General features: G+C 45.8%; 2 long non-coding RNA genes across 4 annotated transcripts, besides 1 other annotated feature; one reads left to right on the top strand and one right to left on the bottom strand.

Moving 5' to 3' along the window:
* Positions 1–371: 371 nt before the first annotated feature.
* LINC03055 (long intergenic non-protein coding RNA 3055) lies at positions 372–13,267 on the bottom strand. 3 transcript variants are annotated; one of them, XR_926428.2, is made up of 3 exons: positions 12,907–13,267; positions 7,480–7,587; positions 372–720 (listed from the first exon to the last, which is right to left on the bottom strand). It is a non-coding gene; the product is annotated as a long intergenic non-protein coding RNA 3055 (long non-coding RNA). The 3 variants fall into 3 exon arrangements; XR_926430.2 differs by having other exon boundaries at positions 372–717; XR_926429.3 differs by lacking the exon at positions 372–720 and adding an exon at positions 4,475–6,074.
* Positions 8,586–27,246, top strand: LOC105374903 (uncharacterized). The gene is made up of 3 exons (XR_926431.3): positions 8,586–8,670; positions 24,796–24,950; positions 25,739–27,246. It is a non-coding gene; the product is annotated as an uncharacterized LOC105374903 (long non-coding RNA).
* Positions 11,201–11,836: an enhancer, noted in NCBI's record as "H3K27ac-H3K4me1 hESC enhancer chr6:6887337-6887972 (GRCh37/hg19 assembly coordinates)". NCBI's record gives its function as "activates a minimal SCP1, AML or CMV promoter by ChIP-STARR-seq in naive H9 embryonic stem cells {active_cell/tissue: H9 hESC(naive)}" and the evidence as "EXISTENCE:reporter gene assay evidence [ECO:0000049][PMID:30033119]".
* Positions 27,247–27,762: the final 516 nt, after the last annotated feature.

Raw genomic sequence — 27,762 nt, 5'->3', positions numbered from 1 at the left:
TTTATTCACCATCTGGGAAGAGATATTCTATCAGCCTCTATCTAATGCATCCTATCAGATGAAGCAAGTTCCAGGGTCATTCAATTCCTTTCACTTTGGTTTGGTGTATCACACACATCTGGCTAAAAATTCTGCTTCATTGGCCGGGCGCTGTGGCTCACGCCTGTAATCCCAGTACTTTGGGTGGCCAAAGCGGGTGGATCACCTGAGGTTGGGAGTTCGAGACCTGTCTGGCCAACATGGAGAAACCCCGTCTCTACTAAAAATACAAAATTAGCCAGGCATGGTGGCACATGCCTGTAATCCCAGCTACTTGGGAGGCTGAGGCAGGAGAATCACTTGAAACCGGAGGTGGAGGTTGTGGTGAGCCAAGATGGTGTCATTGCACTCCAGCCGGGCAACAAGAGCAAAACTCAAAAAAAAAAATCTGCTTCATTAGTACACAGCAGGTGGAGGGGGGTGTCCTAGCTATTGGACAAGAAAACTATATTCATTGGAAAAGTTTGTCTTTTGCTCTAAAATTAAGGCCATGGCTCTCTAGTTTGTAAATCAGGCTCTTGGTGAATTTCACTGGCACGAATTGATTCGCCGGCACCAACTGACTCCCAGGTGAGCTAGACTTGATGAAGTTTCTGCGAGACTAAGCAAGAGATCTTCAACTCACGATGATCTCCTCAAGTGCAGTCTTCTGAGTCCCAGTTGAATCCACCAGCTCGCCTGCTTCATTATGTGGTATGAGAAGACATCTGATTAGAGCGTCCACTGAAACAACACCCTCCCCACTAGCATCTTCCATTTGAAGAGAGCTTTGTAATCATCCAGTCTAATCCCTGCCCCATTAGAAGTCCTATGGGACCTAGTGGTCACCTAGGCCAGCAGTGAGCTTGTGACCTCAAACTTTATTCTCTTTGGGATAACTCTAATTGTTAAAATTCGTTTTTCTTTATTTATTGAGCTGAAAATTTTCAGTCTGTAAGTTCATTTCTCCAGAGAAATGAACAGAGTAAATCTACTTCACCCACATGAACACCTTTTGAAATATTAGACTTGCAGGAATTATATACAAGATATAAAAAATTCTTACAGTGAATTTCTCTTTTCCCTAACCATTTAAGGACTGTTCAGTTTAAGAGAAGAATGTGACTTTTGTATTGTAGGCAGAGGGTTAAATTTGACTGGAACAAGAGCAGAGTTTAAGTGTTTTAACCTTCCATTATGTGGTGACTGTCAGGAACTGTGAAGGTTCTGAGATTTTACCCTATTTTCAAAGTTAGCAAGTGAGCCTGCCACAGTTTCAAGATGCTGGCAGAAGACACAAGACTCCTGGTTTAGAGATAAAGGACAGTTTACTACTCACAGCAATAGCAGTAGCCTGAGTACCACCATTTTCTTGTGCTGGTTCCCCAAACCCCAGTTTCACAGGGCAGGCAAGCAGGGCCAGGTGTCAATTCCACATACAGGGTGTGTTACAGGAGAGGAGCCCTGAGTTTAGGAAACCCCAATCTTTTATTAAGGGCGGTAAGTAAACCTGCCAACCTTTGCCTGGGGAAGACATTATCTTTATTATACTGGACAGCAAACAAACCAGCCCTTTGCTCCAGAGGAAAGCACTATCTCTGTCTTCAAAGGCCGTTCTCTATGCAAACATCCTTGCAAAGTTTGGAGCAGAGTTAGTGCTTCTGCATGCAAGAGAATCAGAAAGAAGAGAGACTCCTGCCTCCTGTTAGCAGCCACCTTTGACTTCATTTCAACTCTTCCATACAAATCTTTAAATCACCTAAACCAGCGCACTTATTTTTATAAACCTCCTACCAAACCAAAACTTCATGCCAAAAGATACAGGAGCTAGAAAGAAGAAAAGGGAATGTGGGCCTGAATTAATTCATTATTTCCCTACTAAGTTTTATTTACAACTTCCTCTATTAAGTTCTTTTCATTCACATCCAAGAGACTGTTTCTCCTCCATATAATGCAGATTTCTAGAAGGTGATTTCTAGCAATGCATGAATTCAACTGAAATCGTATTATGGACTATATGAAAACTAGAAGTTTTATACAACAAAAGATAAAATAAAGCATGCTATTAAAAGTCAAGTGAGAGACTTGGATAAAACTTTATGACTTTTTTTTTAATAGACCAAAGATTAATACCCAGACTATTGCTCCTGTGTTCCCTACTGCAAAAGAAAACCAAAAACAAACAAACAAAAAAAAAACAGAAAAAACCAACAAGCCAATAGAGAAAGGACAGAGGATCTGAATGAGTAATTAGAGAAAGGGAAATAAAATGGCTGATAATCTTATGGAGAAATGTTTAACCTCAAGCAGTCTTCAGATAAAACCAAGTTTAGAGAATGAGATAGCCTCAATATATTGGTAAAGACGTGAAAGACTGGTAATTGCCAGTATTGGTGAGAAGGTTAAAATAAGCACTTTCTTTTTTTGTTGTTTAATTTAATTTTTTAAACTTTTATTTTAGGTTCTGGGGTACATGTGAGGGTTTGTTACATAGTAAACAAATGTCAGGAATGTTTGTTGTATAGATGATTTCATCACCTGGGTATTAAGCCCAGTATCCCATAGTTATCTTTTCTGCTTCTCTCCCTCCTCTTACTCTCCCCCATCAAGGAGACCCCATTGTCTGTTGTTTCCTTCTGTGTGTTCATAAGTTCTTATCATTTGGCTCCCATTTATAAGTGAGAACATGCAGTATTTGGTTTTCTGATCCTGCATTAGTTTGCTGAGGATAACAGCCTCCAGCTCCATCCGTGTTCCCGCAAAATACATGATCTCATTCTTTTCATGGCTGCATAGTATTCCATGGTGTATGTGTATCACCTTTTCTTTATCCAATCTGTCATTGATGGGCATTTGTGTTGATTCCATGTAAAATAAGCATGTTCATTGTGAGGGGCAGTAATGTAAATTGATACAGACTTTTTGGAGGCCAACTTCTTAGCTGAATCTCGTGACAGTGCTAATTTAATATTGTTGGTAATGGTAAACTATTGGCAATAATGTAAGTGGCCATCAACAGGGGAATGGCTAAATAAATTGTAGTATGTCCATAACTTAAAATATAGCCATACAGCCTTTTCTCTTTTCTCCTTACATTTCCTGTGACAGGCATTTTTAAAAAATGTATGTATTTATTATTATTATTATTATTTTTAGACACAAGTTCCCACTCTGTTGCCCATGCTGGAGTGCAGTGGTGTGGTCATGGCTCACTGCAACCTCAAACCCCTAGGCTCAAGCAATCCTCCCGTCTTAGCCTCGTGAGTAGCTGGGACTGTAGGCATGCACAACCATACCTGGTAAATTTTTTTTATTTTTTGTAAAGATAGGGTCTCTCTATGTTGACCAGGCTGGTCTCAAACTCCTGGCGTCAATCCTCCAGCCCCAGCCTCCCAAGGCACTGAGCCACTGTACCTGGCTGCCATGCAGCCTTAAAAAGAATGTAGTCTATTTATTGATTTGAAATCATCTCTGAAAAATATTGTTTATTAATAAAAGGAAGTTTTATTAACAGTACTTGTAATTTTTTTTAAATCCAAAACATATTTCTGCATGTAAATGTGTAGGTATATATATGCATATAGAAAGGCATGGAAGACACACACCTAGCTGCCAATGTTTATTAACTCTGAGGAGGAGCGTGGACTAGGAGATGGGGGGGGTGTGGGGCATAAAGGTTTAGTTCATTATTCTTCAGTGTTTATTTTTTTTCTGGAGACAGGGTCTTGCTCTGTCACCTAGGCTGGAGTGCAGTGGTGCAAATTCAGTTCACTGCAACTTCCGCCTCACGGGTTTAAGCAATCCTCCAGCCTCAACCTCCCGAGTAGCTGAGACCACAGGTGCACGCCACCACACCAGGCTAATTTTTGTATTTTATTGTAGAGATGGGGTTTTTCCATGTTGCCCAGGCTGGTCTCAAACTCCTGGGCTCATGCGAACCACCCGCCTCGGTGTCTCAAAGTGCTGGGATTATAGGCGTGAGTCACTGTGCCCGGCCCAGTGTTGATTGCTTTAATCCAATGTGTCACTATATTGCTTGTGCGGTTTAAAAATAAAAAAAATTGTACTGCAGCAAATCGATTTGGTTATTCTGTAGTAGTCACATCGTAACAAGTTCCTTATGGGCCAGCAGTGTATAACTCTGGCTGAAAAAAAGAAACAAGTGGAATTTGGGCTGGGCGCAGTGGCTCACGCCTAGAATCCCAGTATTTTCGGAGGCCAAGGTGGGTGGATCACCCGAGGTCAGGAGTTTGAGATCAGCCTGGCCAACATGGCAAAACTCCATCTCTACTAAAAATGCAAAAATTAGCTGGGCGTGTGGCGGGCGCTTGTAATCCCAGCTACTCAGGAAGCTGAGGCAGGGGAGTTGCTTGAACCCGGGATGTGGAGGTTGCAGTGAGCGGAGAGTGCGCCACTGCACTCCAGCCTGGGCGACAGAGAGAGACTCCATCTCAAACAAACAAACAAAAAACAAGTGGAATTTTAAAACAACTACATGGGAGAAAAAAGTAGGATTTTCATGAAATCCTCCCATTTTTGCACAGCACCGAGCTGTCTGGTTTTCTGTGTCTAGAGCTTCCTAATGAAAGAGAGATAAACACATATTGAAATCAAGGGGGAGATCAAGGATGATTAAAGAGGAAGAAATGAAGATATATCACGAGGATACCACAGTAATTCCAGGGATTGAGGAAGCCAGAGTACATAACGAAGAGACGTTATGCACCCTTAGTGACGTGGGAATGAAGGTATCACTAAACAGCTGCTCAAGAAAGACCAGAAGTTCTCAAAGTGTGGTCCTGGACCAGAGGCATCACCATCACCAGAAAACTTTCTAAAAATGCAAGTTCGCAGACCCCGACCCACACCTGCTGAATCAGAAACGTGGGGGTGGGGCCCAGCAAGGCTTTAGCAAACCTTCCGGGGGATTCGGATGTGCATTCAAGCTTGAGAAACATGACTGTAGACCAGCGCTTCCCAGCACTGACTACGTACGAGTCACCCGGGAGCGTGTTAAGCAGCGCGCTCTGATTCAGCAGGAGAGGCCAAGATGCTGCCGTTCTCACCAACGCCCAGGTGAGGCTGATGCTGCCGCTTCTCAGGCCACACGTTGAATCACTTTTGAAGGAAGGTTGAGTGAGCATTCGGTGACTGCAGGGCTTCGTAAGGAAATAGTCAAGGAAAACACAAATAGCAGCATCAGTTTATCTCCATCGATATTTTAAAGGATCGGAGCAAGAAAAATGCTGCTTTTAGTGGTTTGTTGCCTGGTGTTCCACGGATGTTTCACCAACAGCAATGCCTTTGCATATCTATTACATGCTTCCTGAAAGCCCCAAGCATGACCTGTGAAGCACTCCTCTCTGCAGACGCAGAGGCTGACGCTGGCCCATAGAGCTATTTGCCTTCCAAGGTCACAGAAACCTTGGACGGATCGGGCTGGCAAAGGTCTCCTGACTACCCGGCTGGAGCTCTTTCTGCAGGCCGCTTAAGGCTGTCCTAGTCAAGCCACAGTGGGAAGTAGTGACAGAGAGCATGAGATTGACATTGCTGTGCCTCAGTCGTAAAAACCGGACCAGCTCAGTCTCCAGGCTCACTGGTGAATAATAGGAACCTTTATCATCCTTTCCGTCAGAAAGCATTTATTTAAAACCCCTTGGCTAACTCACAGGGTGAGCTGGCCTGTCACACACCATCACATGGTGTGGAAACTGGCAATTAAATTTAGCAACCCACCTCGGCAAACTCAGACTGAGATGTTTACTGGCCAGCCCAGCCCAGGGGGAGCCAGGGGCTTTCATTCCTAAATCAAGAGGTTTCCAGAAAAAGTGAAACACGGCTTGGGTGGGTTATGCTGAATTATGAGCACCTGTCCCCATCAATAACTTGGCGTCCTCAAAATGCTACTGCAGGACTCTGAGGTCCAAGAATGCCTGTCCTGTACACAGCTGAGGGACGGCTATTGGCCTCACTTGCAGGGCTGCCGCTCAGAGAGGGGGAGATGCCGAAAGGGAAGCGCTTGCTTGCTCCAAGGACAGCTTGTTTGTTTACTGACTCTGGGGACAGAGAGAGACAACATTAATCAAAGAATAGATGTCATTTCCCCTCCACACCCTGAGAAGAGTGCTGCAACTGTGGCCCGTGGTTTATCTGTAACAATGTAGGTGAGCCACTTCAGTGCATTTCCATGATGGCAAACAGCAAGGTGGGCATCCTGAGGAGTGAGTTTCCCGGTTTACAGGGGGCAATCAGAATTATGGCCTGGATGCAGTGATACAGCAATGCCTGTAGTCCAGGAAGCTGTTCTGTTATAAAGGTCTACTTTCTGGAACACCCTTGGGGCTGCAAGCTAGCAAAAGTGGAGTTTGTGTGCATCTTCCGGATCCAGCGGTGTGAGTTAGGATGTCTCAACAAGAGGGGCTGCCATTTGTCATCTTAGCCAAAGACTCAGCCAGAATCCTACTCTTTAGTGGGGCTGGGGATGTGATGGTGAGAGAGAGGTAAGAGGATGAGTCTTGCACAAGCTAGACTTGTTAGTCACAGCTTTCCCAACCCTTGACGTGCCTGGTAAATTATAGCTGCCCAAGTGCAGTGAGGGCTTGTCTTCAACGTGGGCCCAGATCTGCTGCTGTGGGCAGAAAGGGAAGGACCCTCGCAGCCCTACAGGAAGGTACCAGATACCACTCTTCCTGTGTGTGAAAGCACCTGCTGCTCAGATTTAGATAAATGTGTTTCAGCTCAAGCACACCCACAGGAGTATCTGTTCTCCCACCTTACACAACAGCACCTGACAACAGAGAACAAAACTTGAAGTGTCGTAAACCGGGCCCTGAGGGGAGGAAAAAGGCTGGCGGATATGGGAGCTACCCCTGCTCAGAAATGAAGGGGAGTGGCTGTGTATTCTTCTGAATGTATAACCCTAGTGAATTTCCAGTAATGCTGGGTGATGATGGAAGGGCATGGAAGCCTTTAAGGCTGGTAAAACCGAGCTTGCCAAGCCAGGTTCTCACATGTGCTGTCATTAAGAGTCCTGGCAACCTGTTAGTGTCTACCCTGCCCCTTCCAGGTCCCATCTTTATCTCTGCTTTCCCTCCTTCCCTTTTTCTTTTGCTCCTTCTTCTTCTCTCTTGTTTCCTCTCCCCTTTTTAGACCTAAAAACAGTGTCTCCCTCCAGACCTTCCTTCAGTCACTGGGGCCCCTGGGCTAAGGAAATAACTGGTCCTCCATGGGGCAGAAGAAACAGGTCAGGGCCAACACTCATGTGGCCTTGAGTCTAATGCCAGCATGACCCGCTGTGTGGGTTGCTGTCTATTTTCAGTGCCTGGTTTCTCTCTCTGTAAGATGGAGATAATGGTCCTCCCTCTCCCTGCCTTCACAGGGATGATTTCAAGGACAAGCAAGATCATGCTTAAAAGCCCGCCTCGGGGGAAGGGCTGGGTGTTATCAGGATTGTTCATTTACCTTCCAGAGTCTGCTGATGTTTTTACTCGTGTCTTTCTCATCTTGTAAAGCAGGTTACATCCTAAGAGTTGTGTTTGGCTCAAGGTCACGCAAGGTTGGGTGTCTCAGCTGGATTTAAACAAAGAACAATTGAGTTCCTAATCTACGGCTCAGCCCATTGGACCACAGTGACCTCTGGTCTCTTGTACCTGGAAGCCCAGCCCTGCTGGAGGAAGTAATGCGCCTGCTCTCCAGGTGATGTGGGAACCTGTTGTGCCGCTGCCTCCTCCCCCAGCAGCCAGGTGGAATCCAGCTCTCTCTGTGTCCCCAGCATGGCACACCTGCCTAGCACAGCCTGCCTTGCAGAGCAGGTGTTGGCTGTGAGATGCTCAGTCTGGCGAGGGGAGTCAGAGGACGCAAATCTGCTTGGGGGATTCAGAAGTGATGGACAGGCCCCAAGTGTGAGATTTCCAGGCTAATTAAAAAGTTTCTCTTCTATGAAACTTTGAATTTAATTAGTTTGCATATGGGGCATCTAAAATGGAAATACCAGGGAAGCAGAAATGCCAAACAAAAGTGGAAAGATCCCTTCTGAGTGGGGGACGACCCCAGCTGCTGTGGCTGCACTGTGGTGGTCGTTTTCCTGGATTGCCCTGCTCTGCTTTGGACTGCAGGGCTCTGTCTTCTGAGAACTACATTTCCCAGGTCCCCTTGCTCCTGGCTTCTGGCTGGCCTCCACCCAGGGAGTCAGTGAAGATAAACCGAAGGGCTAGCGGACGGGAGATTCAGGGCGTTTCTCTGTCTCTCTGCAGCCTGGTCAGGGTCCTTGGCACTGGTCCTCTGTGGCTGGGTGGCCCTTCCCTCCATCCTTCCAATTCCTACCAGATAGTGCAGGATTCAGGTTCAGATAACATCCCCTTTCCAAGCCCAGAGTGGGTAGAAACTTCTAAACTTCTTCCTGTTATTTCTTTCTGGGTTGCCTCACTGCCCCTGTTTGACTTTTCAGCAACTCCAACGTCTTTGCAACCAGTTCCCCATGTTCCATCCCCTCTGCTGAAGACCTAGGCTGGGCACTGTTTTCCCAACTGATCTGTAGCTGGAATCTCTGAAGGCACGTCTGTGGTACACACGAGGAGCCTGAAACTGGGAGAAGCCCCTGGACCTGCCTGTGTGAATTGCATTAGCAGTGGGACAGGACCCAGCTCTCCCAGGGTAACTTAGAGACTCCTGTGGCTGTGCTTCCTTGTCGGGTGGGGGGCACTTTTGGTTTAATCTTAAAAAATTTATAAGTAGGGTAAGAAATTCATAATAGATAACAGGGTGCACAATAAAAACCTCAATTTTCCTCTCTCTGAACCCTAGTTTCCCAGAATTGCAGATAAGAGATTACAGGCTTGTAATATTTAGGACTTCTCAGGCCCTGGACTGGAAGTTTTTCTCATCTTATTTTTGTTACTCACAATAACCTCACGAGATAGAAACGTTACAGGAGGGGAAACTGAGGCTCTGAGGCAGAAAGCAATGTGCCCAAGTATGTGCCTAAGCTAGGATTCGAAACCAGGTCTGCCTGAGTCCCAAGCCTGGGCTGTTCCTGCTATACCCCAGGAGACCATATGCTGTTGTCCACTGTAATTATCAACAGTGCCCTTCACTCTCAGTCTGGTCTCAGAATATGGGTCATGTGATCACGCTGGCCATACCATGCTATGCCTTGGTGATGGACAAACGTTGGTGATGCAGCTTCCTTGATAGTTGAGGCCTGGCCCTCCATTACCATAGACATCATTGGGTTTAAGGACAGCCTTCACACTTTGGTAGGCAGTTCTTCTTGGCTTATGATGGGGGATGTGGACAACCACATGAGCTCCCCTTCTTCCAGGGAGCTTTCCCTGACTTTCACAACTCCCAGGATCTCCTGGTCCATGCTGCGCTACTGACCTCTTTTAACTTTATGGGATTATTGTTCTAATTTATTTTCTCTTTTAAAAACTATGGTAAAGTGCATATAACGTAAAACTTACTGGCCGGGCGCAGTGTCTCACACCTGTAATCCCAGCACTTTGGGAGGCCGAGGCGGGTGGATCACCTGAGGTCAGGAGTTCGAGACCAGCCTGGCCAACATGGCGAAACCCTGTCGCTACTAAAAATACAAAAATTAGCTGGGTGTGGTGGCGCATGCCTGTAATCCCAGCTACTTGGGAGGCTGAGGCAGGAGAACCCCTTGAACCTGGGAGGCGGAGGTTGCAGTGAGCCAAGATTGCGCCACTGCATTCCAGCCTGGGTGACACTCCTTCTCAAAAATAAAATTTAAAAAAACCCCACTTACTATCTTAACCATTTTTAAGTGTACAGTGTAGCAGTTTGTTTTTTTTAGAGACAGAGTCTTACTGGCTCAAGTGCAGTGGCACGCTCACAGCTCACTGCAGCCTTGGCCTCCTGCACTTAAGTGATCCTCCCACCTCAGCCTCCCCAGTTGCTGGGACTGCAGGCATGAGCACTGGCAGTTTAGCAGCATTAAGCACGTTCACATGGTCTTGCTACCACCACCACCATCCATCTCCAGAACTCTTTTCATTTTGCAAGACTGGAGCTTTGTGCCAATTGAACACCAAGTCCCTTTTCCCTTCTCCTTCCAGCCCCTGATGACCACACTTCTACTTTGTTTCTACGAATGTGGTGACTCTAGGTATCCCCTGTAAGCAGAATCATTCAGTATCTGTCCTTTTGTGTCTGGCTTATCTTAGCATAATGTTCTCAAGGTCCATCCATGTTGTAGCATGTGTCAAAATTTTCTTGCTTTTAATGCATTCTTTTTTTTTTTTTGAGACGGAGTCTCGCCCTGTCTCCCAGGCTGGAGTGCAATGGTGTGATCTAGGCTCACTGCAACATCCACCTCCTGGGTTCAAATGATTCTCCTGCCTCAACCTCCCGAGTAGCTGGGATTACAGACACCCACCACCATGTCCAGCTAATTTTTTGTTGTTGTTGTATTTTTAGTAGAGATGCAGTTTCACCATGTTTACCAGGCTGGTCTCGAACTCCTGACCTCGTGATCCGCCTGCCTCGGCCTCCTAACGTGCTGGGATTACAGGCGTGAGCCACCATGCCTGGCCAAGGTTTGTTTTTGTTTTTGTTTTTTTTGGAGATGGAGTCTCGCTGTGTCACCCAGGCTGGGGTGCAGTGGTGTGATCTCGACTCACTGTAAGCTCCGCCTCCCAGGTTCATGCCATTCTCCTGCCTCAGCCTCCCGAGTAGCTGGGACTACAGGCATGTGCCACCACTCCTGGCTAATTTTTTTTGTATTTTTAGTAGAGATGGGGTTTCACCGTGTTAGCCAGGATGGTCTCCATCTCCTGACCTCATAATCTGCCAGCCTCAGCCTCCCAAAGTGCTGGGATTACAGGTGTGAGCCACCACACCCGGCCCCAAGGCGTTCTTAATTAAGTTTTATGTTAATGCTCTAAGGGTGAGTACATCCTTGTGGCTTTTGGAGTGTCACACAGTGTGGCAGTATATTTGACTGCTTAGTCAGTATTAACAAGTGAATAATGCAGATTTGACATTTTCTAGCACTTGTAGCTGCCAGAGGAGTGAGGCAAGAGGCTTACAAGTTGAGCGCAGCCCCCAGTCAGTCTGTGACCTGGTCTTTTGTGGCATCATTGCTTTCAACTACACTTGTACTTAAGTTTATGGCATAGATTAAGAATTGGCTTTTTGCACTTAATTGAAAAACAGAGGTTACATAGTGGTGTCTCATCAGTTCAGCAGCAATGCTTCAATCAGAGGTGCACGTGTGTGTGAAAGTGTGAGTGTGTGTTTGTGTGAATCACTTTGCAGTGACAAGCTAGATGCAGGCCGTGGAATTTCTCTTCCCATTTACTCTGCCTTAATAGAAGCATTGGTTTAGAGAGAATATTGATATGCTGATTCTAAATTGGAGACCCTCCCAAAAGAAGAAAAAGTCTCGAGTTTCTTTTCCTGTCTTTTTATATGAAGAGTGTTTCCTTCAAAGGAGAACAGGAAAGAAGGTGCTGAATTTGGGTGTGTGGGCTCTTTGCTCGCTTAAGGCCCAGGGAGTCACCACAGCCATGGCTGACAGTGCCAGCTTTCCTGCATGCGGCCGCTGGCCCATGGGTTTCACTTTCCTGTTTTACATTGTAGAAATGGGGACAGAGAGACCGAATGACAGGCACGTGGCCACGCAGCTGATTCAAATAGGGGTGGTCTGGCTCTGTCAACAAGGTTTGTTTAGGGTCTGGTAAGGGGTCACATCTTGGAGGTATCAAGGTGCACTTGGCTCCAATTGCATCTGCGTCTAGCAGGCTGGAGTTTGCTGCGCACCGTGGGCTGGAGCCAGGCCTGCACGCCTCCCTCCCATCTTCAGACAGCAGCTGCCTCTGGCCTTGGCCTGCTTTCCTCTCTTGCTGAAGGAGCCCCACCAGGTGGCCCAGCGTCCTCCATCTGTGGGGTCTCAGGCCTTGCGTAGCCTCATGCCCCAGGAGCTCATCTTGATGCTGGACGTTGCCCTGAGGTCAGCCTGGAGTTCTAGCTGGGCCTGGTGACCCTGAAGCTGTCTCCGCCCAACACTGCTTCAGCTTCTCAGAGGCCCACGGCTATAGTCAACACCAGGAACACTGTCCATTCCAGAAGCTCCCCTGTGTGACTGTGAAGCACATGGCCTGGGGTGGAGGAGGTGAAGATGAGGGTGGATGTTCCAGTTCATCATCCGGGTACAGTTCTCTTCTTGTTACCTGAGCTCTTGTGTGTTACTGAAAGCCAATTGGATGCACATGGAGTTTGAACAAATAAAGAATGAACACTGGGGTAGGGCACTGTCACCTCTAGGATACCATGTTCTAAAACGTGCACGTGCCCCTGGCGTGGTGTGATATGATAAGTCTGCAAAACGAGCTCTTGGTGGGAATGCATTTGGGGCCTTATCAATCAACCCCAAACAGTGTAGACACAGACAGAGATGGGCGTGGCATTGAAGCCAGAGTGTTCTAGGTACTGTGTGTGTGCTGGGGGTAATGTGTAAGTTCTGTTTCCCAAGATGTTGGGAAGAAACCCTGCCTGCCTGGAGTGGCTTCTGGGATGCAGCCTCGGAGCAGGCCTGGTGGTGCAGGAAGCATCTGGCTGTCACGCCTGGAGCTAGTGTGCCCCTGGCCCCCGGCCTGCTTGCTGGCCAGCCTGGAGCATGGAGGGGGAAGAAGCTGCAGAGGAAATTGGTGGGTGAGGCCACCACGGGTTTGCAATAGGTCTCAACCTGTCACCGTCAAGGCGGGGCCTCCCATAAAAGGCCTCTTTAGCCAGAATTTGGGTTCCTTTTGAGCCTTGTACAGCACAAAATGAATCCAAGACAAGCAGACAGTCTGGTTTTACTCCTTCGGTTGATATATTTTAAACTCTGTAGTGCATATTTACATTTTTAACCACATGCTGACTTACTGTTTGTGTGGGGAGGTCTGTGCTCTCCTAGTGCCTTGTCACGGGGAAAGGTCATCCGAGGCTGGGCTCCTTCATGCAATCACCAAGTCTGGCTGTGGGAGAAAAGTCCTGAGTCCTTGGGTAGCTGTTGTGGTACCTGCTCTGAGAAGTCCCCCAGCCACTGGGCCTGGACCTGTCCTCAGCTGCCAGTTCAGTGGGTCTCGCCTGCACCCCAGGCCGTCTGTCATCTGGCCAGGCTCTGACACAAGGGTCACGGGGCTGGGGGAGGCTCCTGGCCAGGTGTGGCGAGGGGCAAGCCCACACAGAAGGCAGCCCTCTGCCCAGGAGCCTGCGGGTCTCCAGAGCCTGCTTGCACAACGCTTCCTGCGTGCGTTTGCATCACAGCCTCAGCAACTGTCGCGTCAGCATGTGACCTTTACAATTGTTGACAAGGAGCCACTTCTGGAGACTGTGCTCAGAAGGAGGAGTCCCTCTTCCCGCCACTCTCCTGCCTGCCTGCCCCACACGCTGCGGCCCACCGCTGGCCACTTGGCATTTTATTTCATTTAATTTTAAATTTATGTTTATTTTTTGAATTGATTTTATTCTGTTTTATTAATTTAATGTAATGTTATTTTAAAGATGGGGTGTCGCTCTGTTGCCTAGGCTGGTCATGAACTCCTGGGCTCAAGTGATCCTCCTACCTCAGGCTCCCAAAGTGCTGGGATTACAAGTGTGAGCCACCATGCCTGGCCTATTTATTTTAGAATTTATTTTATTGTTATTTTTAACCTCACTGCCTGATGCGCACTTTTGGAGAATTTGGCACTTCTCCCTCCCTGTGAAGACCCAAGATCGGCCCCCGTGTCCTGGCATCACTGCTGTCACCTCCAGGCATAGTTTGGCAACAGCCCCACCAGCACACACACGCACCCCCTGATATTTTCTGATTCTCAGTGGGGCTCGAGGAGCCTCCTGCTCCCAGCTTTATCTGACCTGGGGAGGAGTCGGGTGAAAGGAAAGGTACAGGGCACCTTGTAGAAGACCTGGCAGAGGAGGCTGGAGGAGGGAAACATTTCCGGGCAGGAAAACACTAATAGGGCCGTTCAGCGGCTCTCAGGCCTAGAGGGGTGTGATCCCTACAATTCAAGGCAGGCCCCAGACCCGCCTGGGCTTAAGGGCTGCAGGGGGATCCTTTTCTCTCCCTCATTGCAATTTAGGCCATTCTTCCCTGGAACACACGAGTCAGAGTCAGCCAGGTAAGAGGCAGAGAGAAAGCCAATTCCTGTACCTGGAGGAGATGTGGATGCCATGGAAACTTGGTGCCCTTGGAGGCTGCATGAAGTTGAAAGTGGCACGGTGGCAAGCCCGGGAACTGGGAAGCGGGGATCAAGGGAGAAGAAAATTGAGATTTTATTATGTATCCTCTTAAGCATTGTGACAATTTTATCCCACATATAGAAGAATTTTTTTTAACATTACACTAAAAAAGTTGCACAACTTTTCACTGATTTCTTGGAAATAGGAAGATACAGAGATTCTCCGAGTGACTCACGGTCAGCCTCTACTCATGGGCATGGGTGCTGATTGTTTCAGCCACTGGTACCTCCTTGACTGCTTCCCAAAGCCAATTAATCACTAAGCTCTACTAGTTGTAGCTCTTAAACATTCTTTCAATACATGGATTTCTCTTTATTACCCCCTAATTCAGGAGTCAGTAAACTATGGCTCTTAGGCCTGATCTGTCTGCTGACTGGTTTGTAAATAAAGTTTTATTGGAACATGGCTATGTTCATTCATTTGTATACCATCCAAGGCTGATTTCTTTTTTGAGATGGGGTCTCTGTGTCACCCAGACTGGAATGCAGTGGTGCGATCTCGGCTCACTGTAGCCTCAATCTCCCAGGTCCCAAGCGATCCTCCTACTTCAGCTTCCTGAGTAGGTGGGACTACAGGCATGCGCCACCATGCCTGGCAATTTTTGTTTGTTTGTTTTTTTGTAGAGATGGTGTCTCATCATGTTTCCCAAGCTGGTCTCAAACTCCTGGGCTCAAGAGACCCACCTGCCACAGCCTCCCAAGGTGTTGGGATTACAGGCGTGAGCCATGGTGCCCAGCCCATGGCTGATTTCTTTATTGTTTTCTTTTCTTTTTGAGACAGGGTCTCACTCTGTTGCCCAGGCTGGAGTGTAGTGGTACAACCACAGCTCACTGCAGCCTCGAACTCCTGGGCTCAAGCTGTCCTCCCACCTCAGCCTCCTGAGTAGCTGGGACTACAGGCATGTACTACCACATCTGGCTAGTTTTCAAATTTTTTTGTAGAGATGGGGCCTCGCTTTGTTGCCCAGGCTGGTCTCGAATTCCTGGGCTCAAGTGATTCTCCCACCACAGCCTCCCAAATTGCTGGGATTACAGGCCTACGCCACTGCTCCGGCCCATGGCTTCTTTTCTTGCTAAAAAGACAGAGCCGAAGATGCCCCAGATATTTGTTATCTGGCCCTTTACAGAAAATATTTGCTGACTCCTGCCCTAATTCATCCATTAGCGTCTTTCAGTGGAGTGAGTGAAACATCTTCCTAACTGATGTCTATGCCTCCAGTCTTGTTCTCCTCCCATCTATTTTCCTCACTCTGGCCTTTGTAAAGGGAAAATCTGGTTATGGCACTTGGCTGCTTGCTCCGCTGCCTCCTTCTGCTCTCTTGATGGATTCTAAACACCTTCTCATGGTCTGCAGGATTCTTCCACTCAGCCCCCGCCCTCCTTTCGCCACTGTGCCACGTTCAGCTGTATGCAGCTTCCAGCCACCGAGTTCCCACGGCACCTAGGTCTCCCTGCAGGTGTGGCCATTGGTGTGTGCTGCTTCCTCTTCCTGGAATTACCTTTCTGTCTGCTCCTTACCTGGCCAACTCTGACTCATTCTACAGTTCTCAGGAAAGCCTGTTGGCTTCCCAAGGCTGGGCTAGGAGGCTTTTCTGTGTGCTTCCATGGTGCCAGGTTATATTGAAAATTTCATTTGCTTCCTTCCTTCTTTCCTTCCTTCCTTCCTCTCTTCCCCCCTCTTCTATATATTGTATTAGTCACTAATTGCTCTAAATACAAAAAAACAAAACAAAACCAAAATAATCCAAAGCTCCCTGCTGCTCTCGGAGGCTTGCATGCTGGTGGGCAGAGATAGAAATTAAGCAAGATTAGGAGGTAGGGTAGAGAATATTAGAGAGGAAGATGTCTTGAGAAGAAGAAATAAATCAGGAAGAGGATATGAAATACTGGGGGTGTTGACATTTTAGATGGGGTGGCTAGACAAGGCCTCCCTGAGAAGGCCTCTTTTGGGGAAAGACTTGCAGGATGGGAGGGAGTGAGCAATCTAGCTATTTGGGGAAGAGCGTCTAGAGGTATGGTATGGTGAGGTATGGTATGGTATGGTATGGTATGGTATGGTATGGTATGGTATGGTATGGCATGGCATCTAAAGGTATGGTACAAAGTCCTGAAGACAGGAGAAATGAGGCCAGTGTGGCTAGAGAGGAGAAAAGGAGGAAAAGAGCAGGAGGATGGATAAATGCTATGGGGTGGCCAGGTCCCACGGGGCTGTGGGAAGGACCTTGACCTTTACTCTGAGGAGCATGGGAGCCATTGTAGAGTATTGAGCAGAGGAGTGACATGACCTGTCTGGAGCTTTCCACAGAGTCCTTCTGTCTGCAATTTTACTCTCCATTAGACTGACAAGCTCCTTGAGGGGAGGCACTGTGTCTTGTTCACCTTTATTCTCAGGACATAGCACATCTAGCTTTAGAAGACCTCAATATATATTTAACAAATGAACAATGAATGAATGAATGCATGCATGCATGAATGACTGCTATCTCCCAACCGCCAGATCCTGGCTCCTAAGGGCTCTGGGAATCTTCTCCCTGTGGAAGGAAAGCTCTGGTAGAAAATGCTGCCAACAGCTAAGGCCTCGGGGTTCTTAGCTGCTTGCTTGGATGTCACTATGGCAGCAACATACATCCAAACCAGTTTTCACTGTTGCCACAGAGCAGCTGCTTAATTAATCAATGTCACCCGGAGGGAGGATTTCAGGGGTGACCCTGCCCTTCACAGTCTTCTGCTGGATGAAGTCATAGAGTTATTACCAAACTTGCAGATGGAGGTAGGAGGAACAGAGGGTTTGTTGATGGATGGACTCAGGATTTACAACTATCTTTATAGGTTCAGGCCTATAAAGAGGCCTCATCAACTGGAGAAGGTAAGATAGGGAGATGTCAGGTTCTGCATCAGAGCCCCAAATCAACAGTAAAAACGGCCACTGGGGGGATTTGTAGCTTTGGTAGGTGTCAAACACTCTGAGTTAAAAGTGTGAAGCAACTGTCAAAAGTCTTAAAGCTCTCTGAGAAGCCACTGTAGATGTAGGTGAATAGATGCATCTTATCTGAGAGCTGTAAGCTGCCTCTGTGTAAACCCACTCCCAGGATTCCAGGTAGGACACCTTCAGAGAGCTGTGAGCACACTGGGAGGATGACAGGGAGGGGTATTTGAGAGCACAGTGGGTGGTTATTTGGAGAAGAGGAGTCTAGGGGTGGGACTTGATAAATGTCTCCAAATATTATTAGTTCTGAATTCTTAGGTCTGAGAGAACTTAGATTTGAGAGTTAATGTGAATGCCCTCAAGGGGATGAAATAGGACCAACTGGATATCAGCTCAACTGATGGAAGCAATGTCCAGACATCAGACGGGTTGCTTCAAGCCTCTCTCTTTTTTTAGTAGGGAGGGGAGGACAATCGGTAGGGAGGAATGCTGTGGAATTGACTTAAGCATCAGATAAGCACTGGAGTTCTTCAAAATGCCTTTTCACACTGGGGTTCCGTGAATGCATCTCCTCTACTACTGTATGGCCGACTGTGCTAGTTACTCTTTAATACCCGTTCTTCACTGCTTCATCAGTAATGATAACCCACAATTTTAGCATACCTTTCAAGGGCAAAGGCTTCTTTCCTCGGTCTCACTTGGATCTAGGCATGGTCAAGGGGAAAGCTACGGCTAATGGACTAAAAGCAGAAGTATCATGTTCAACTTCTGGGAAGTAGTATTAAAGAGAGGGGGTGTGTCCTTATTTCTCTTTCCTACTTGCTGCGGGCTAGAATGTGGATGTGGTAGCTGGAGCTCAGTAGCCATTTTGGGCCATGAGGTAGAAGCTCTGTGTTGATAAGAAGCCTGGGTTCCTGACGATCTTGGCCAGTATTGCAACCCTGGACTGCTGACCGTTACTATTTATGTGAAAGCTATATAAACTTGCATTTCTTTTTATTTTTATTTTTTTTTTTTTGAGATGGAGTCTCACTCTGTCACCCAGGCAGGAGTGCAGTGTCACGATCTCAGCTCACTGCAACCTCTGCCTCCCAGGCTCAAGCAATTCTCCTGCTTCAGCCTCCCAAGTAGCTAGGACTACAGGCGCACACCACCATGCCCAACTAATTTTTGTATTTTTAGTAGAGACGGGGTTTCACTGTGTTGGCCAGGCTGGTCTCAAACTTCTGACCTTGTGATCTGCCCACCTTGGCCTCCCAAAGTGCTGGGATTACAAGCGTGAGCCACTGTGCCTGGCTACAAACTTGCATTTCTGACAAGCTATAGTTATTTTTGGGTTTTTCTGAAACTTACAAATGAACCCATTTCTACCTAATGTACCATGGAAAGTAAATACACACACACACACACACACACACACACACACACACACACGAGAAGAAACAGCATTGCTTGGCTTCAAATCCAAACTCCACTACTTGCTAAGTGCTGTGTGTCTTTAGACAAGTTTCTTAACATTTCTGTGCTTCAGTTTCCAAACTGAGAAACTGGGAATAATAATAGTAACAACTGTGTAGTTTTTGTTTGGCTGGGTTTTTTTGTTTTTTTGTTTTTTGTTTTTGGAGGAGCAGATTAAATGAGAGAATATATTTATTTAAAGACATAGAACAGTGGTCTATACATAGCAAAGATTTGATACATGTTAGCGACGATCATCATGTAGGCACCATCCACATTTTCTTTTTCTTAAAACAGACTTTCACACTATTGCCCAGGCTGGAGTGCAGTGGCACAATCTTGGCTCACTGCAACCTCTGCCTCCTGGGTTCAAGCGATTCTTCTACCTCAGCCTTCCCAGTTGTTGGGATTACATGCGCCTGTCACCGTGCCAAGCTAATTTTTGTGTTTTTAGTAGAGACGAGGTTTCACCATGTTGGCCAGGCTGATCTCGAACTCCTGACCTCAAGTGATCCACCCACCTTGGCCTCCCAAAGTGCTGGGATTACAGGCGTGAGTCACTGCACCTCTTGGCAAACCATTTACACTTTCATTTCCTCATACTCTGCCTCTCCATACTAAAGAGTTTTCCTCATACTCTGCCTCTCCAAAACTATAGGGTTTTACCAAATATGTTTCCCCTTATTTTGTTTTCATTTGATGACTTCCATTAATGTCCCAGAACACAAAAAGAAACCATGTTAAGAGTAGTCAAAATGCAGTTTATGCATAGGCAGCCAAGGTATTTTCTTCAGACAATCTGCTGTAAGGCATGGGGTTGAGGAATGAACTGTGTCTAGAAAAATGGGTCGCTGGGGTTTGCTCTGTGTTCTCAATAACTTCCCTGTTCTGGTTATGAGTTCTTAGATTGTGTAGAAACATAAACTTCATAGCAGTAAGCACTAATCAGTACCTAGAGAAAGAGTAGCCTTCTCTGCTTAGAGGTTGTCTTTCTCAGTTTCTAAAGAAGCCTAAGTTTGAATACCATCTGTTCATTTGTTTATTTATTGAGTTATTCATGGGGATACAAAGTTAGATAAGAAGGGGTCCAGACTCCTAAGATGCTCACAGTTGAGTAAAGAAGGCAGATGCAGCTGCATTTCCTGTGCCTCTCTGGACATGCCTCTTCTCATGTCTGGCTCTCTGAGCCATGGGTGTCAGTGGGTGATTAACAGTTTGCTAGCAATAAAAGGTGGGGTGGTGCTTCTGGGAACTGATCCTCCAGAGGCGTCTGCACACGTATGGAAGGATGTACGTGAGCAGTTATTCACGGCAGCATCTCTTGTAGGAGCAGAAGCCTGGAAGCAACCCAAGTGTCGTCTTTAGAGGACTGGGTAATCCGTGAACATCCCACACATGAATACTACACAGCAGGGCAAAGGAGCAGGGCTGCTGTCTGTGCACAGACCTGGCAAGCTTTCCAGAAAATGCCGTGAAGAGACAAAAGCAAAAAGCATTGAGTATATATAGCTGGTTATATTTTGTGTAAGAAAATAGCATCTGTGTCAGTATTTGCTTGTATTTTCAGGAAGACTGGAAAGATATCAGTGACCTTAGAGAATATAAAGTAAGATAAAGGGTAACTCTAAGTGGAACAAGTTTTTTTTTGTTTGTTTGAGATGGAGTCTCACTCTGTCGCCTAGGCTGCAGTGCAGTGGCGTGATCTCGGCTCACTGCAACCTCCGCCTCCTGGGTGCAAGCGATTTTCCTGCCTCAGCCTCCTGAGTAACTGGGACTACAGGCATGCACCACCATGCCCCGCTAATTATTTTGTATTTTTAGTAGAGATGGGGTTTCACCATGTTGGTTAGGCTGGTCTCAAACTCCTGACCTCAAATGATCCGCCCACCTCAGAATTAGGTTTTAATGTTATAATTTGATAATTATCCTATTCAACAACATATCAAATCTGAAAGAAATCACATGAATTTTTTTTTATTATTATACTTTAAGCTCTAGGGTACATATGCACAACGTGCAGGTTTGTTACATAGGTATACATGGGCCATGCTGGTTTGCTGCACCCATTAACTCGTCATTTACATTGGGTATTTCTCCTAATGCTATCCCTGCCCCAGCCCCGCACCCCACGACAGGCCCCAGTGTGTGATATTCCCCTCCCTGTGTCCAAGTGTTCTCATTGTTCAATTCCCACCTATGAGTGAGAACATGCAGTGTTTGGTTTCCTGTCCTTGTGATAGTTTGCTCAGAATGATGGTTTCCAGCTTCATCCATGTTCCTGCAAAGGACATGAACTCATCCTTTTTTATGGCTGCATAGTATTCCGTGGTGTATATGTGCCACATTTTCTTTATCCAATCTATCATTGATGGACATTTGGGTTGGTTCCAAGTCTTTGCTATTGTGAATAGTGCTGCAATAAACATACGTGTGCATGTGTCTTTATAGCAGCATGATTTATAATCCTTTGGGTATATACCCACTAATGGGATCGCTGGGTCAAATGGTGTTTCTAGTTCTAGATCCTTGAGAAATCACCACACTGTCTTCCACAATGGTTGAATTAATTTACACTCCCACCAACAATGTAAAAGTGTTCCTTTTTCTCCACATCCTCTCCAGCATCTGTTGTTTCCTGACTTTTTAATGATCGCCATTCTAACTGGTGTGAGATGGTATCTCATTGTGGTTTTGATTTGCATTTCTCTGATAACCAGTGATGATGAGCATTTTTTCAAGAAATCACATGAATCTTTAATCTGGGGCTTTAGCTAATGTATCTTGAAAATTTTAGAAGTTGTGAAAAAAATTGAGTTATGGTAAAAATGACCAGCATTAGTAAATATCAGGCTTTATTTGAATGTGCTTTTCTTTGCAGCTAATGACACCTCCTAAGGATGAGTTTTAAGAAGAGCTGCAAAGAATTTTTTATATTTAAAAAAGTGAGGAAAGAGTCTTTTTTAGCATTCAATAATTCTTACAAAAGTTTCCCTTAATTTGCTATCATAATACTAACCCTAGTGAGTGATAAGTTTTCTTTCTTCCTCCCTTCCTTTCTCTCTCTCTGTCTCTGTCTGTATCACACAAACACACACAGACACACACACACACACGCAATTAGGAAGAATAAGAGGTGACTTTGTGGATGAAAAGCTGTTTTTCACTTCCCTCTACCATATAACTGAATTTAGACTATTCCCAAATACCCAAATTTTAATAATGGGTGTTCCTTTAACAAATAAACAAGCAAATATATAATGCCAGGGAAATCTCCAGAACACTCTGAGTTGATGGCGCTGTTATCATCAAAGGGGGCTTCCCTTTTGTTTGCTGCCCTGGAGTTTCCCCATCATGGAATGATGAATTGGAATCAGACATGGGAGAGCAGAAAGGGGGCCTCTCTTGTCTAAAGTGGGAGACAGGCTATCATGAAGGAACTCTGGGGCACCTTCTCAGTCCAACCGCCTTAAGAAAGAGTGCACGTGGAAGATGAGAATCTGCAAGTTGATTCTCTTAAGACTAGCCAAGCTGTGCCTCCCGGAAAGTCTTCAAGAACCCAAAGTTAGGGGGTGCCCAGTGAGTTGGAAGATTATAAGAGTAAAGAAGAATCATGAAGAGGGAAGGCATTTCTCTCTTTTTTTTTTCTTTTTCTCATTTTCCCTTTTTAAGATAAAAAAAGTTCTTAAAATTTACATATATCCTCGGGACTTTTCTTTTAATAGAGATGAGGACTGATTATGTTGCCCAGGCCAGCCTCAAGCGATCCTTCTGCCTTGGACTCCCAGAGTGCTGGGATTACAGGCGTGAGCCACTGTTCCTGGCCTTGGCTGGCATTTCTTAATTAAGGGGAGAGCCTCACCCATGATCACAACTCACCTATATGCAGCAGAATTGGAGAAAACTGTTCAGCAGCTCCCAGAAACTTCCCTGGGGCTTGTGTACTGAGGGGCCATAGAAATTGCTTTCTATAGATTGTAAGCTCTTTGAGGGCAGGTACTTTGTCATATCCTTCTTTCCTATTTCCCCCGAGGGCCCAGGAGTGTGCCAGGCACGTGGGAGTCCTGCACAAACACACAGCAAAAGGCCTTTTCTATTTCATGGAAGTGAAGGACTTGAAGAGTCCTCTAGAGTTCTTCCAGTTCACTCTCTCGTGCACTATGAATGAAATCCAAACCCTTAAAGACAGCTGAGAATTCATCAGAGTTTTAACGAGCAAGAGAAGGATTCCAATAATACCACTTGTTGCCTCATTTCAGAGTCTACCAGACTACAGTTCAGAGATGCTTCCTTATGAGTCACTTAAGTGCCTGTGTGATTTCACTGTAGACTGAGGAGGCTGGTCCCATCACCAGCGCCCTTGACCTCCACAGGTCAGTTATAGCTTTCTTCCCCTCTTCCTTCCTCAGGCTGGTAAATCTTAGTTATTTTTATATCTCAGAAGGGTAGCATATTTTTGGGAGGTGTTCTCATTTACCTTCTCTTATTATGAGCTGGGAGAATTCAAGTTTAAGAGGGAAAAGATTTAAAAAAACTATCATAATAATATAATAATGATAAAGGCCAGGCACAGTAGCTCATTCCTGTAATCCCAGCATTTTGTGAGGCTGAGGAGGGAGGATTCCTTGAGGCCAAGAGTTCAAAGATAGCCTAGGCAACATAGCGAGACCTTGTCTCTATTTAAAAAAAAGTTTTAAAATTAAAAAAAAAAAAAGGAAAAGATGGTTACACCTCTTTCTTTCTTTCCTTTCTTTCTCTCTCTCTCTCTCTTTTTTTTTTTTTTTTTTGAGATGGAGTCTTGCTGTGTTGCCAGGCTGGAGTGCAGTGGTGCAATCTTGGCTCACTGCAACCTCTGCTTCCCAGGTTCAAGCCATTCTCCTGACTCAGCCTCCCAAGTAGCTAGGATTACAGAAGTGCACCACCACACTCAGCTAATTTTTGTATTATTGGTAGAGACAGGGTTTCACCATGTTGGCCAGTCTGGTCTCGAACTCCTGACCTCAGGTGATCCACCCGCCTCGGCCTCCCAAAGTGCTGGAATTACAGGCGTGAGCCACCGCGCCCGGCCACAGCTCTTTCTAACTTAACATCTTTGCTATTCATGGGAAAGTGCTGTATATTTGTTGTTTCCTAATCCTCCCCCTCTCTCATTAAGTGACAGCTGCGTAACCTAATGTCGGCTTTTTCTTAGTCCTCCATGCCCTTGGTGGTAACTGGGCACCAGGCTGCCGAGGAGAAAGATTGTATTTCCCTCGCAGCGGATTGTAGCCCCAAAGATATCAACAGCCATGTTACATGACAGCCAAAGGGAGAGCTGCTTAAAAGACAGTGCTTTTTGTCTTTTCTTTGCCTCTCCTGCTAGTTGCTTGCTTTCAGTTATCTGTTGTTGTGTACCAAGTCACTTCTATAATTAGTGGCTAAAAGCACTATAATTTATTACTTTTTGTGATTCTGTAGCTGGGAAATCTGGGAGGTTTCTCACGCCAGTCTTGCCTGATATCCCAGCTGCTGTTGGATCTAAGATGGCCTCATCCACATGTCTGCCAGCGGGGGCTCCTCAGTTCTTCTCTGGGAAGTGTCTCCTTCTCCCAAAGCCACATGCACCTTATCACAACATGGCAGCCTCAGGGTTTCAAGAGGGAGAGAGAGGAAGCTTCAAGATTGCTTAAGGACTAGGCTCTGTAATTTATACAACGCCACTTCTGTCAAATTCTACTGGCCAAACTGGATTCAAGGGTGAGGAACTAGACCCCACATCTTGATGGAAGAATAGACAGTGTCATTGACATTGCAAAGGGCTTTAAAACAAGGAGGCGTGATTCATTGGAGGACCATTATTAAAAACAATCTGCCGCATCAGTGGCTGGAATATGGACACGATGCTATTAAGTAGAATTTAAGCAGCTGTCTTGGACAAGCTCTGGAGGCCCTGTGCTAAGAAAATTGGAGAAACAACTTGGAAAGAGTCCCTGACACTTTGTGAAGCCTCCTTATGAACCATGGACTGTCTACCTCCAGTGTGGTTTCATTTGAGAGGTCGATAAATGCCTGTATTGTTTAGGCCACTGTCATTTTGGACCTTCTGTCACTTGCAGCCAAATCTAATCCTAACTTACATGCTTTCCAATACTCACCCTCTTACATTTTCAGCTCTACTTACCAGCCGAGGCTACCACCACACAGAGTGTACTGCAGTTTCAGGCTTGGAGAGGAAGGGAGGAAGCCTAACCCTCGGGAGACCCCGTCATGTTTTGATGTCATTGCATGTCCCATTTGGCCAGCCCGGAAAAAATAAAATGAGGAAGGTGAGCAGGAGGGATGTTGCCACGGGACTGAGGAGGTTAGGGGTTGTCATGGGCCTGCCTGAAACATTGCCTGGTCCCATTATTGGTCAATGTCATCTCAGCAATGAACCCAGGGGAGAGCCCAGGAACCACAGTGGCAGGTCTAAGAATGTTCCAGGCAAACTGAAAAAGCCAAACTTGCCCATGCATAGACGCTGTGGATCAGTGGTTCATTTGGATGTGGTCAAAAGTGGGCCTGCTCCCTGATATAATGATAAGCTATGTATCTCGGATTCCATCTGGAAGCCATTTTCAGATTTGCATTATGAAGAGATGATGTTGAGTTGGGGCTCTCTGAACTCATCTGTTTTGCATGTGCACAGGGGTGGGTTTTAGAGATGAACAGCAGCTTTTCTCTTCCCCACTTTTTCTTCAAGTTTGATGGTTAGGTTTGGGCTTTATTTATAACTTGTCACATGGAGAAATACAGCAGGGCACTATTCAGAGGCCATGCAGCATCATATCATTTTACAAATTCCCCACTCGTAATTAGTTTAGGCTGTTTTAAGTCTGCATTTTTTTTTTCTATAATGATATAGTAGACACAAAGTGTTAACTGGAAACAGAAATATTCGCCTCTTTCTCTGTCCCACCCTTACCCCCACCACATCACCTTCCTCTACCCGCCAGGGGGTACCCTGGTAGCATATCTATCCCAGTGACGGGCAAGTCTATCTGGAGGCTTCAGCCACTCTTGGAGGCCAAGGAACCTTGAACGCTTATCTCATCCCTTTGTCTCCTCCCAACAGAATGGCCCACAAACAACCTGGACAGATAGAAGGCTGCTTTTAAAGAAGCTCACAGACACAGCTGATTGATTCTGCGACCTTGCTTTGTTACTCATCTCTGAGTTTAGAGGCTTCACTGCCAGGGACCTTGTCCAGAGTTTCTGAGACCTCCAACAGCCTGTGGTCTCCTGGTCACTCAGACCCTACTGGTGGCTTCAGATGCTGGATCTTGCTGATGTTTGAATTAGCTCTCTGTGAAGGGCATGCTGGTGAGGCCACATACCAGGAAACCATGACAAACAACAGAATTACAGTCTGGTTAAAAAAGAAAATATACATATGCACATATGTATATTCCCCTACCCCAGGGGTTGAGACTTTTTTTGGCATAAATTTACATATATTTTGGCACAAATTTGCATAGAGGTACACGAGAACCTCTCATTTACAGCACTAAAATTTGTATTGTTCCCCTTAGACCCTTGTCACTGGCTGTTACTAATGTACTGAGTTTCACCAGTTTGTCCTCCATTTCCTAGAATTTGTTCTAATTTTTAGGAAATGCTTACTAAATATCACCATTGTGTGTGGTGAAATCCAGCCCTAGAGGACATCAAAAGGTCTCTTGTTAGCTGGTAGCTATTGTTAGGTATTATCTGTAGAGACATCGGGTTTCCTGGAAACATCCCATAGAGCTGTCCAAAAGTATTAATTATTAAATTGGGCCTTTAACTGTATTTATAGAAATTATAATATTACGTTTATATGTATAGAAAAGAGATTATATCTAAGCCTTATATCTGTATAAAAAAAGGATTTTACCAAAAGTACTGGAAGGTGCATTATAGTTACTCTCAAATGTAATATTAGGGATTTATATTTACATATATTTGAGACAGGGTCTCACTCTGCCCAGGCTGGAGTGCAGTGGTGTGATCTCTCGCCTCACTGCAGCCTCCACCTCCTGGGCTCAGGTGATCCTCCCACCTCAGCCTCCCAAGTAGCTGGGATTACAGGCACACTCCACCATGCCTGGCTAATTTTTTATATTTTTTGTAGAGACAGGGTTTTGCCATGTTGCCCAGGCTGATCTCAAACACGTCGGCTCAAGTGATCCTTCCACCTAGGCCTCTCAAAGTGCTAGGAGTACAAGCATGAGCCACCATGCCCAGCCAATATTAGATATTAATCATTGTTCAAGAACAATGTTATCAAACCTACCTGTGAGCTGGGGCAAGTTGTGTCACTCCCCTGGAGCCTCAGTTTCTTCCTCTGGAAACTGAGGGAAACTACACCAAATCTGAGTGTTTCCCTAATCTCAGGCAGCTGACGTCCCCTTTAGAATTTTTGCCATCTTCTCATGTCATTTATACTATTTCTTCATATTTTTCTGGAATTTAATAACTTTTCAACTTAAACTGGCATGATCTACCTTAGCCTAGTCCCAAGCAAAAATCTCTGTGAAACTACGTGTTCGCTGTACTCTTTTTTCTTGCATATTAAAATAAATGCATGACTCTTAAAATGTTTTTAAGGTGCTCGTTTGTATTCACTTGAAATTTTCTCAGGTCCTGCTGCACTTTGAGAATGTGATACAAAAAGCTTCAGTGGTGTGCACGAGGAGCTTGGTATAAGGCCCAGCCCTAGCAGTCATAAATGGTAGCTGAGGCAGAAACAGCTAGGTTCCTACCTCAACATTCTCCTTTCAATACAGTAACGTGCTGACTTTCAGTTGGGCACACAACCGAAACCATTTCCCAGGATTCTTCGCAGCTAGATAGAACCATGTAACTTTATAATATAAATGTAAACATAATATTTTGGACTATGCTTGGACTAAACAAAACATTTAGTAAAGCTGGGCATGGTGGGGTGTGCCTGTAGTCCCAGATACTCTGGAGGTTGACAGGGCAGGAGGATCGCTTGAACCCAGGAGTTTGAGGCTGCAGTGAGCTATGATCTATGATCACGCCACTGCTCTCCAGCCTAAACAACGTAGTGGGACCTTGTCTCTAAAAAAAGAAAATACATTTAAAAATATATTT

This window comes from Homo sapiens, chromosome 6, assembly GCF_000001405.40.
Source record: "Homo sapiens chromosome 6, GRCh38.p14 Primary Assembly".
Lineage (NCBI taxonomy): Eukaryota > Metazoa > Chordata > Mammalia > Primates > Hominidae > Homo > Homo sapiens.
The sequence above is the reverse complement of the archived record's forward strand: the minus strand, read 5'-3'. Positions and strand labels throughout refer to the sequence as shown.